At 36.7% G+C, this 12,284-nt stretch overlaps 1 protein-coding gene across 6 annotated transcripts in view, besides 1 other annotated feature; it reads left to right on the top strand.

Annotated features, from left to right (window-relative positions):
* Positions 1-12,284, top strand: part of SUN3 (Sad1 and UNC84 domain containing 3) — a 48,755-nt gene that overhangs the window by 735 nt on the left and 35,736 nt on the right. For 2 of the 6 annotated variants that reach the window (NM_152782.4, XM_047420113.1), the window contains exons 1-3: positions 6,061-6,139; positions 6,224-6,351; positions 9,230-9,291. In NM_152782.4, coding sequence (NP_689995.3) covers positions 6,230-6,351; positions 9,230-9,291 — 184 coding nt within the window. In that variant the 5' untranslated portion in view covers positions 6,061-6,139; positions 6,224-6,229. Of the gene's footprint in view, positions 1-6,060; positions 6,352-9,229; positions 9,292-12,284 lie in introns of those variants that run through there. The other 4 variants (XM_017011930.2, XM_047420114.1, NM_001030019.2 and 1 more) reach the window with 2 other exon arrangements.
* Positions 5,671-6,870: an enhancer, noted in NCBI's record as "MED14-independent group 3 enhancer chr7:48067895-48069094 (GRCh37/hg19 assembly coordinates)". NCBI's record gives its function as "activates an origin of replication core promoter dependent on BRD2, BRD4, P300/CBP and CDK7 cofactors, and independent of MED14, by STARR-seq in HCT116 cells {active_cell/tissue: HCT116}" and the evidence as "EXISTENCE:reporter gene assay evidence [ECO:0000049][PMID:35650434]".

Below are 12,284 nucleotides of genomic sequence, written 5' to 3'. Positions count from 1 at the left end.
AAAAATTGGGGACATGCATCACGTTTTCCAAATAAGTATAACTGTCTCACCCTAAAAACACAACAAAACAAAACACCCCACCAGTATACAAAAATAAAACATAAAAAGAATTTACTAATGAGATGCAGGAGTAATGATTCACTTAGTAAAGGAATCCTTAATTTTAGACAAATTTGCTTGCAAATTTCTCATCTAATGCATTTTTTTCAAGACTAATAAGTATTTGGAAATTGTGTGTCGATAATAAAATTATCATGTGAACATTCTTCCTTATATCTTATTTTTTGAGAATATTTCTGTTTTATAAGTTGAGAGACTTTTTTTAAAGCTCTTAACCATATTTATATGGAATCGCGTTTAGAACTCCAAACACTTGGCTTAAGTGTAAACTTGTTGCCTGCCTGGATTTTGAGATCTACAGAAAGTACAATGAGTATATTACCAATGGTGCTTCATGGGAATGAAGATTATCTATCTGGCATATGCTTGGTGAGGCCAATAGACACCAACAGCTATGGCGCAGTTCAGTAGGAGACACTTTTGATACCCAGAAAGCCCTATACAACCCTGGCAAAAATAATAAGGGCTACTTACCCGGTGGTAACCGCTTGTGAGAGTTTGAGGGGATAAGTTGATACAGAGAACATTCAAAGAAATCCTGTTGTTCCAACGACTGCAGCAACAGTTAGCAGCCTTGGTTTTCTCTTGTTGAAAATTTTTTTTTAAATCAAGACTTTTCATAATGGTGGGTATTTGACAACTTGAACTGAACATGAGTCTGTTTCTGTTACACGAGTATAGCCTTAGAAATCTAGCAGGAGACAGGTAATATCAGAATTGGTTAAAGAGAAGATAGTTTTTGTGCAGGAATTAACTCTAATTCTGTGGTTTATCCTGCTCTAATATAATATCATAATGAATTCTAAGCATCTTCAGTGGTCCAGTCATGAGTAATCAAGACTTCATACTGCAATGTCAAATGTTTGTTCCACTGCATATACACGCTCTTAGGTTATTGCCAAGCATGACAAATGCTTTTGTTTGTGCAAGTCACAGCATCCTCTAGCTACGGGATTGTATGGTCAAGAGAAGTTTATTTATTTATTTAGAGACAGAGCCTTGCTCTTGCTCTGTCGCCCAGGCTGGAGTGCAGTGGGGTGATCTTGGCTCACTGCCACCTCCACCTCCTGGGTTCAAGCAATTCTCCTGTCTCAGCCTCCGGTGTAGCTGGGATTACAGGCACGTGCTACCACGCCTGGCTAATTTTTGTATTTTTAGTACACATGGGGTTTTGCCATGTTGGCCAGGCTGGTCTCATACTCCTGACCTCGTGATCCACCTGCCTCGGCCTCACAAAGTGCTGGGATTACAGGCATGGGCCACCGTGCCTAGTCAAGAAGGTTATTCTTTTTTTTTTAATTGATCATAATAACTGGAGCTGTCATGACCAAAGAGCATCTCTATTCTCCATTGGATTAACAAAAAAGTACAGCATTCATCCAAGTTGATAACCTTCTTGACTGGCTGAAATCATAAGTTCAGTGATAATGAAGTGTTATCATTCCTTAGAAGAAACTTTTTATTTTATTTTTATTTTATTTTTTTTGAGACAGGATATTGCTCTGTCATCCAGGCTGAAAGGCATTAGTGTGATCATGGCTCAGCGAAGCTTTGAACTCTTAAGCTCAGGAGATCCTCCCACCTTAGCTTCCTGAGTAATTAGGAGTCCAGGCCCACAGCACCACATCTAGCTAATTTTTAAATTTTTTTTAGAGACAATGGTCTTGCTATGTTGCCCAGGCTGGTCTCCAACTCCTGGCCTCAAGGAATGTTCCTGCCTCAGCCTCCCAAAGCACTGGGGCTCTAGGCATGAGCCACCACACCTAGCCAACTTTTGACTTTTGCAGTGTGATTGAAATTACAAATATTTGCAAACCAGATCAGACAAGAATGTAGGTAATGATGCCATGGAAATTAAAACATGATACAAGAATAATTTATTTATAATAAGAATATCTCAATGTTTTTATTTTCTATACTTTATGACATAATCATCTTTCTACCACATAATCGGCCTCAGTATTTAGAAAGATCCAACATTCTCTGACATATATTTTCACTTTATGCCTAATTTTTTCACTTTACTTGTAGATATGCAGATAATCTCCTGCTTATGAGCATTTTGAGAAGAGGAAAAATGTATTTGAGTACAAATTCTGATTTTTCAAAGCCCTCTGGCCCTTCCTTCCTGCCTGGTCTCTGTTGGTTTACCCATGTTGTTGGCTGAAGCTAGTTTATTTAAACTTTCAGGACACATCCTCCATTTGTGCTTTTCCATCTCTCCCACTTTTGCCCTGCCTTGTTACTGTCTGTTCCAATCTCAAGCAGCTGAAAGCCCTTGTATAATTCCCCTCTCCAACCTTCACCTCTGTGAGCTCAGTCTTTCCCTCTAGAACATACAACATAGTCTCACCAGGGTTCCACCAACTGGAGGGGCTTTTACATTTTGTGCTTTTTTCTGATAATCTGAGTAATTTAAAGACAAGGTTTCCTTTTTTGATATATATTTATGTATTTCAATGTTATAGCAGTTTGGGTTTTCAGCCTCATTGGAGAAACAAGATCATCTTCTCTTCACACAGGAGAGAGACTGGATTTCTTTGACTCTGCAGTGCTCTGCATGTTAAAATAATGGCCTTTTTCTTTGGTTGAAATTTTTAAAGACACATTTTGGATTTTTTCCAACTTTATTGAGATATAATTAACAAACAAAACTTCTATGTTTCAGTTGTACATGTTGGTTTTATACACATGTACGTTGTGAAATAATTACTACAATCAAGCTAATTGACATATTCATCATCTCACTTAGTTACCTTTGTGTATGCGTATGTGGGGTAAGAACACTTGAGATCTATCTACTCCCTCAATACATTTCAAGTATACAATACAATGTTGCTAACTGTAGTCAGCATGCTGTACATTCGATCCCTGGAATGTATTCCTCTTGTAACTGAAGCTCTGCACCTTTTGACCAACATCTCCCCATTCCCACTCCCTCTGCCCATCAGCCACTGGCAACTCCCATTCTACTCTTTGCTTCTACACATTTGACTTTTTAGGCTCCACATATAAATTAGATCATACAGTATTCACCTATCTGTGTCTGGTTTATTTCACTTAGCATAATGTTCTCCAGGCTCATTCATGTGGACACAAATGACACAATTTCCTACTTTTTATGGCTGAATAATATTCCATTCTCTTTCTCTCCCCCCACCACCACCACACACCCACCGTGTGTGTGTGTGTGTGTGTGTGTGTGTGTGTGTGTGCATAAATCACATTCATTCATCCATCAATAAACACTTGGGTTGTTTTTATATCTTGGCTTGTAAATAGTGATACAATGAACATGGAAGTGCAAATATCTCTTCAACACACTGATTTTATTTCCTTTGGATATATATACCCAGAAGTGGGATTGCTGAATCATAAGGTAGTTCTATTTTTAATTTTTTAAGGCACTTCCATACTGTTTTTCATAATGAGTATACCAATTTACATCCCACCAACAGTATACAAGGGTTACATTTTCTCTGCATTCTTGCCTACACTTATCTTTATATATTTTTGTTTGTTTGTTTTAAGATTAACAATTTCTTTAAAATATGGGGTCTGGCTATGTTGCCCAGGCTGGTCTCAAACTCCTGGGCTCAAGCAGTCCTCCTGCCTCAGCATCCCGAGTAGCTGGGATTACAGGCGTGTACCACTTTGTGCAACACTAGCTGTTTATCTTTTTTATAATAGCCATCCTAACAGCTGTGAGGTGATATCTCATTGTTGTTTTGATTTACATTTCCCTGATGATTAATGATGTTGAGTAGCTTTTCACATGCCTGTTGGCAATGTGTATGTCTTCTCTGGAAAAAAATGTCTATTTAGGACCTTTGCCAACTTTTAAATTCAGTTATTTGTTTTCTTGTTATTAAGTTCCTTTGCTGTGCAAAAGCTTTTTGGTTTTTGGTTTGATGTGGTTCCACTTATTTATTTTTGCATGTGCTTTTGATGTCATATTTAAAAAGTCATTGTCAAGACCAATGTCAGGGAGATTTTTTCCTTGTTTTCTTCTAGGAATTTTATGGTTAGAGGTCTTATGTTTAAGTCTTTTATCTATTTCAAGGTATTATTTGGGTATGGTGTAAGATAACTGTCCAATTTAATTCTTTTGCATGTGAATATCTACTTTTCCCAGCACCATTCATTGAAGAGACTACAGTGTCCTTTCCTTATTGTGTACACCTGACAAACTTATCAATGATTAGTTGGCTGTATATGTGCGGATTTATTCTTGAAAAATACACATAGACTTTGACCCAGAAGTTCCTCCTCTGGGTATATATCCTTAAAGATATATTCACACATATGGATAATAACTTAAATACAAGATTACTATTGCACATTATTTTAAATACCAAACTGCCCATCAATATGAGACAGGCTAAATAGCCTATGGCCCATTCACCCAATGAAACACTATTCAGTCATAAATAAATGAGGAAGATTATCTCAAACAATCAAAACAACTTCCAAGATACATGTTTAAGGGAAAGAAGCAAGATGCAGAGCACAGTTTATAGTAAGCTACCATTAGGAATGTGGAGAGATAAATATACCTATAAAATATTACATATATAATACAATGTCACATACTGTGCATGTGTATCACATCTTTGAAAGGAAATACTATAAATGGTAGCATAGATGCTAAAAGAGAGGGGAACCAATAGCTAGAAGGCAGATGCCGGGTGGAAAGGCCATATTTGCTGTGTACCATTTTGTAACTTTCGAATTTTGGACTAGTAGGTAAAAAAGTAGAAACTTGGGGGTTTCTTGGTATAAATCTAAGCTTTCAGAAAATAAGTAGTAAATTGAAAAATAACACTTACAAATTCACCCAGAAATCAGCATAAGTAAAAAGAGAAAAAAGCAAAAACAAATATGAAGGAGCAGTTGAACGGAAAGCAAAAGGGAGACACAAGTGTCAATAGGTGGACCATTCTAAGAAAATTGAGGCAGTGGCAGAGAAGCAATATTTGAAGCCCTGATGGCTGAAAAATAGTCCAGAACTGAAAAAACACACAAGTACCCAAATTGAAAAGACTCTCTGAGTTATAAGTGAGGAAAAACAAAAACTAGTATCAAACCTGGATACACTAAAATACAACTGGAAAATATGGATAAACAGAAAATCTTAAAAACTACGCGAGAAATTGCCAAAAAAAACAGAGAAATGAAGATAAGACAGAATTCTCATCAACAACAATCAATCCACAAGGCCATGGAGTAGTATCTCCAAAGTGCTGAGAGTGAAATGACTGTCATCGTAGAATTTATGCCCCAAATAAACCAGCTCATCCTTCCACCTAACTATTCTGTTTCTAGGTGTATGTTTAGAAAAACCTTGTGATGTGCATATAACAACGTGCAATGAGCATTATTCCTTGCCAAAAAAACTGAAAACAACCTAAGCATACATTTACAGAAGGATGGGTAAATGAATTGTGATGTATGTATAATGAAATACCATAGAGCAATTAAAATGAGTGGAGTTAATGTCTCAAGATAAATAATATTGTAAGAAAACCTAGAGTGGCATAACATTTAGTTTATGTTTTAAGCATGAAAATGGTATTATTTATAGATACAGATTTACATAGTAAAGTATCAAAAATAATGAGAATAGAGTATATCAATTTTCAGGTTGTAGTTATCTGTGGAAAATAAGAGTGCTGAGATTCAGGGATACTTGGGGGTCTACTATTATATTTCTGATATTTTCTTTATTAGAAAAGCACTGAAGCAAACACAGCAAAACATCCAGATTTGCTATCGAAAAGCGGTAGGTACATGGGGGGGCCTTTGTATTATTCAGTGGGTGTGACATATGGTACAATTAGGCCCTTGAAGCAGAGAGGTGGTTGCCTGTCCATGCCCTGGCTGGGCGTGGTGGCCATCTGCATTATGAGGTGTCACGGAGGATGATGCAACAGAAGAATCAGAAGCTTTTCAAAATTCCGTCTTCAAGAAGAAACACCCGTGGAGGAAGAAGACATTATACAAAACAAATTTAGAAACTGTATGTATAGCTTCATGTTTTTCATAAAATAGGAATGAGGACAAATGTTGCTCTTCATCCTACCAGCTGTTTGTTCTTTGGTAGGGGATCATGAGTGGAAAAACAAAGGCAAGAAGGGCTGCCATGTTTTTTAGACGTTGCTCTGAAGACGCCAGCGGTAGCGCCAGTGGCAATGCTTTGTTATCAGAGGACGAAAATCCTGATGCGAATGGGTAGGTAAACATGGCAGAACGGTGTGCCTGAAATTGTAGGTTTTATGTGTTACATCTGTCACTTGTGTCTGTTCATCTGTTACCTGTTACCCGACAGTATTTTCTCCCTTTATAGAGAAAATCATTTTCAATAGTTTCCTTTGAAGGTTTCTCTTCATCACAGTCTTACACTTGATCACAATACTTCTATGTCAACGGTATCTGGATTAATAACAGCAGACTTGGGAGAAGGATTAAGAAAGGAGAGCCACCCTCTTTAAAAGAATGAGCCACAGCAGCAGGAACTTAAAAGCTTCCAGATAATTCACTTTTTTTTTTTTTTTTTTTTTTTTTTTTTGTCATTGGGCTAGCTTGTATAGTCTTGGTGGTATGCAGAGCTTAGCACCGGGCTCAGGACTCTGGGCACAGAGTGGCATTTATTACATTCTTGGGTGATAATTGACTAAAGACTCTGGTAGGGGATGCACATTTTGAGTGAATCACCCTGTTTCCTCTAGTGAGAACATATGTGGGGATTATTATAGCAGGGAATCCAAATACCCTAAACCTATTTACAAACGCCCTGCCCATGTGCTGCCTGCTGGGAAAACAAAAACTACAAGTAATGAAATAACCTTCCTATTGGTAACAATGAAGCACTTGCACAGAACAAAACTGTCAATAAAAATAAAAGGAATGCTACAAAGTTATTAGTACAAGTAGAGCAGCATTTCAAAATCACAGTAATAACAAAATATGCTTGCCCCAAATGGCAGAATCCCACTGGCTGGGTGAAGGCACCGAAGGAATTTTGCAATGCAGAGCCTGGCAGCCAGTTTTCTAGTGAAAAACAAAAAACGAAAAACACTGGAGTTAATCTTTGGTAAATATGGTAATGTGATAATTTTCACTTAATGCAGCCCACCAAAAGAGCTCTTGTAGACCATAACTGACCTATGAACAACTTTTTTAATACAGTGGACCCCCTACCACTCTCCACATCTCCAATAATAGTTAAAAGGAAGAGGTTCCAGAATACACTTCCCTGGAGGGGAAGAGAGTTAAGAAAATTCTCTTCTTAGTTGGTTTCCACACTGTCACACTCTTGGATGGCTAATAGGTATGACTGCTTTATGTAGGGTAGATAAGCTACTTAAAGATTCTGTACTGGGAGAATTAGGCGGCCCACTCTAGTGAATACAGTTAATGAATGGTCCATCTTAATGTGATTTTTCTTATGTTTTAAGTAGAAATTTTTAGTTTGCCAACTTGTAATACTTTATCCGGAAGTTTATAGCCTTCACGTTAGATTAATGTGATCATTTTAGCTTCCCTCCCCATCCACCCTTTAGGGCTTTTTAAAAGGTTAGATGTGAAAAGGTTGTCATTACAACCACTTTGTAACACTGAGCAAAATCTACTGCAACGGATTATGCATGTATCCTATGACCCATCAATGTCTCTCTTGAAAATACACTTAAATGAAATACATACTTGTCTTCATCAGAAACCATGTACAAGAATGTTCATAGCTGCATTGCTTGTAGTAATATTTATAACTGCATTGTTTATCATAGCCCCAAACACCCATCAATGTTAGGATGGATACCCACATGATATATTCACACAATGAAATACTACACAGTTATAAGAATGAATGAACCACAACTATACACAACAGCACAGTTGACTCTCACAGACTTAAGACTGGGAACAGGAGGCAGACAGATAGAGCCCATACCCACATGGGTCCATTTATAGATGGTTCAAACCCAGACAAACCTACTTAATGGGGATAGAGCTCAGGAGAGCAGGTACCTTTGGAGGTGGGAGGTATAGGGTTGATAAGGGCATAAGATGGGCTTCTGATGGGCTTGGTATATTCATCTGCTCGGGCTGCAATAATAAATACCACAGACTGGGTGGCTGAAACAACAGAAATTTACTTTTTTTAACAGTTTTGGAGGCTGGGAAGTCCAAGGTTCCAGCTGATTTGGTCTCTAGCGAGGGCTCTCTTCCTGGATTGCCTTCTCACTGTGTCCCCATGTGACCTTTCTTCTGACTGCACAAAGAGAGAAAAAGTTCTGGTCTCTCTTCCACCTCTTCTAAGGACAACAATCCTGCTAGTTTAGAGTCCCACTCATAACCTCTTTTACCCTTAATTAGCAATTAAAGACCCTATCTCTAAATACAGTAACAATGATGGTAGGGCTTCAACAAATGAATGTGTGTGTGTGTGTGTGTGTGTGTGTGTGTTGGGGGGTGGGGTGCAATTCAGTCCACAGAACTGAGTATGCTCAATTTCCAGTCCTGGGTGAGGTTTCATGGATGTGTTCATTCTGTGAGGCATCACTGGTCTGTACAATTATACAGAAAAGAGCACAAATCGTATTTGTATAGCATACTGTACTTCAACACAGAGTAGGAAAAAAGGTCATGGTGGCTTTAAAGAATTTTATCAGATATTTCTTAACTGTCATAGTTCTTTAGCTTAGTACAAAATTTCCATAAAATCAGAACCTGATTTTTCTTTTTTTTCTTTTTTTGTAGCTAGTTCTACATTTGAGACCTCCAGAAAACTGCCTTTGTTTTTTTCTTATAAGTATTTTAAGAATATAAATAGACATATACTAGCATAAGCATTGCATATGTGAAAGTAAGAGGCATGACTCTATGTATGCGCACTCATATATGCTGGTGAGTGTGTATCATCACTAAAACGATCTTCTCTCAATTTAAAAAATAGTGGATTGGAAATTAAAGTAATTCATAGACTCAACCTAGATTAAGCAAGAATGAAAATAAGTAAGTTTGTTGACGTGAGTGTAGTGGCTAAAGTCCAAGTTAAATGCATGATGTTGTTAAATTCTTTTTCTAATCATTGTTTTTATTCTTTTAGGGTAACTCGATCATGGAAGATTATTCTAAGTACAATGCTTACACTGACTTTTCTTCTTGTAGGTAAGTCTTCCTAAGTAATGATCCTTAAAACCATTCCACAGGTTATGTCTGCCTGGTGAGAGAGATCTCAACGGAATGACTCATATTTGTAAATAAATGCCACGGAAAGTGCTGGAGGTGACCTGCACATTCTCAAAGCTTTTTCGTTTGTTTTTTATTTCTGATTGTAAGAGTAATACTGGCTTTTTAATAGAAAATTTAGAAAGGAGATTTTTCTTTTAGAATTGTGGTTTGCTTTTTGCAAATTTTTTAGTCATAGATGTTGCTTTAAAGTTAAGAATTTCTAATATATTTATTGCAAACATACATTTTACCTTTTCTAAATTTAGGTGACTCCACTTGGGAGGTTTTGACAACCAGAGACTCTTGCTCATCACACAGTTCCCAAATAAATTACTGCAGAATGTGCAGTTTGTAGTTTCGTATCGGGAAATATCACCATCCACCACCCCTAGCACACTGGAAAATTGTTCTTTAATATATTCACAACTTAAGGCATGTATCTCCCATTAAAATAAAAGTTTCAACCCAGTTATTGTTACAAAAAAGATCATATAGCATGTGATCTTTCTTATCTGCCTTCTTTCACTTAGCATAATGTTTTTAAGGTTCATCCATATCCTATCATGTGTCAGTTCCTCATTCCTTTTTGTAGCTAAATAATATTTCATTGTATGTATATACCTCATTTTGTTTATCCATTTATCTATTCATGGACATTTAGAGTGCTTTTATCTTTAGGCTATTGTGAATAGTGATGCTGTGCATAAGTGTGTATGTGTGCTTATTTGAACACCTGTTCTCAATTCTTTCAAGTATATACATAGGAATGAGATTTCTGGGGAGGAACCACCAGACTGTTTTCCTCAATGGCTGCACTATTTTACATTCCCACAAGCAGTGTAGGAGGACTGCTATAGTTTGGATATCTGTCCTCCCAAACCTCATGTTGAAATTTGAACCCCAGTGTTGCAGGTGGGGGCCTAATGGAAGGCATTTGGGTCATGAGGACAGATTCCTCATGAATCACTTGGTTCCATCCTTACAGTAATGAGTTGTCACTCTATTAGTTCCTGTGGGAGCTAATTGTTAAAAAGAACCTGACTTCTCCCAGCTCTCTCTTGCTCCCTCTCTCACCATGTGATCTCTGCACATGCTGGCTCCTCCTTTGCCTTCCACCATGAGCGGAAGCAGCTGGAGACCCTCACCAGTTGTAGATGCTGGTGCCATGCTTCTTGTACAGCCTATAGAACTGTGAGCCAAATAAACCTCTTTTCTTTATAAATTACCCAACCTCAGATATTCCTTTACAGCAACACAAATGGATTAAAACAAGAAGTCCAATTTCTCTACATTTCCACTATCATTTTTTTCCTTTTTTTTTAAATTACAGCCACCTGATGGATGAAAAGTCATGTTTCATCATGGTTTGATTTCTCTAATGACTAATGATGTCAAGCATCTTTTTATGTGCTTATTGACCGTTTGTATGTGTTCCTTGGAGACATGTCCATTAAAGTCTTTTGCTCATTTTTGATTAGGTTGTTTGTCCTTTTGTTGTTGAGTTGGAAGAGTTTTTTAATATATTCTAGATACCAAATCCTTCTCAGATATATCACTTGAAAACATTTCTTTCATTCTAGGTTGTCTTTCATTCTAGGTTGTCTTTGCACTTTCTTTGATACACGAAGGTTTGTAATTTTGAGGGTGTCATATTGAAGCATCCATTGCCAAACCTTTTTAAAAGAGTTTTCTGGTTTTAGCTCTTATAATATTTAGGTAATTGACCCATTTTGAGTTCATTTTTGTATATGATGCAAGGGATCCAACTTCATTTTTTGGCATGTGGAAAGCCAAAGTAATATTTGCTAAAAATATTACTCTTTCCCTATAGGAATCTTTGAATGTCTTGTCCTCTGTTCCAAAAACTGAATTGGCTATAGTTGAATGGGTTTATTTCTGGATATTCTAGCCCATTAGTCTATATGTCTATCATTATCCAGTATCATGCTGTTTGGATTTTGATAAAGATTACTTTGAATCTGTGGACAGCTTTAGGTAGTGTTGCCATCTTAGCAGTAGTAAATCTTCCAATTCATGAACACAAGTTGTCCTTCCATTTATTTAGGTCTTCTTTAATTTCTTTCAGCCATGTTTTATAAATTTCAGTTTTGATTCTAAAGTAAATCTCTTGTAAGCAGCATATAGTTGAATCATGTTTTTAAATTCATTCTGCCAGCCTCTGCCTTTTGATTGGAAAGTTTAATCCATTTTCATTTACATTAATTACTACTAAGGAATGACTTACTTCTGCCATTTTTCTATTTTTTAGAAAATCTATATCTTATACCTTTTTTGTTCTTCATTTCCTTCTTTACTGCCTTCTTTTGTGTTTAATTGCTTTGTTGTAGTGCACTCTTTTGATTCTGATCTGTTTCATTTTGTATACGTTTTTTAGATATTTTCTTAGTGGTTACCATGGGGATTTCAACTGAGACCCTACATTTATAACAATATAGTTTAAATTTATACCAAATTAACTTTAATAGAATGCAAATACTCTGCTCCTATTCAGCTCTGCTCCTCTTTTTTTTCCTCCTTATGATCTGTATTCACTGGGATTTACTCCTCTTTATGTTGTCAAAAATTACATCTTTACACATTGGGTACCCATAAACATAGATTTATAATTATGCTTTATAAATTTGTCTTTTAAATTATGAAAGAAATAAAAGAAGGAGTTACAAACCCAAAACAATAATACTGGTTTCATATTTACCTCTCTGTTACCTTTACTGGAGATTTTGATTGCTTCATGCGGCATTGAGTTACTCTCTAATGTCCTTTCACTGCAGCCTGAAGGAATCCCTTTAGCACTTCCTGAAGGGCTGGTCTAGTCATAGAGACACCATGAGCTTTTCTTTATCTTAGAATATGTTAATTTTTTCTGCAGTTGGGAGAATCGTTTTCTCATATATAGAATTTTTTTTCTT

Source organism: Homo sapiens, chromosome 7, assembly GCF_000001405.40.
Source record: "Homo sapiens chromosome 7, GRCh38.p14 Primary Assembly".
In the NCBI taxonomy this organism is placed as follows: Eukaryota; Metazoa; Chordata; class Mammalia; order Primates; family Hominidae; genus Homo; species Homo sapiens.
The sequence above is the reverse complement of the archived record's forward strand: the minus strand, read 5'-3'. Positions and strand labels throughout refer to the sequence as shown.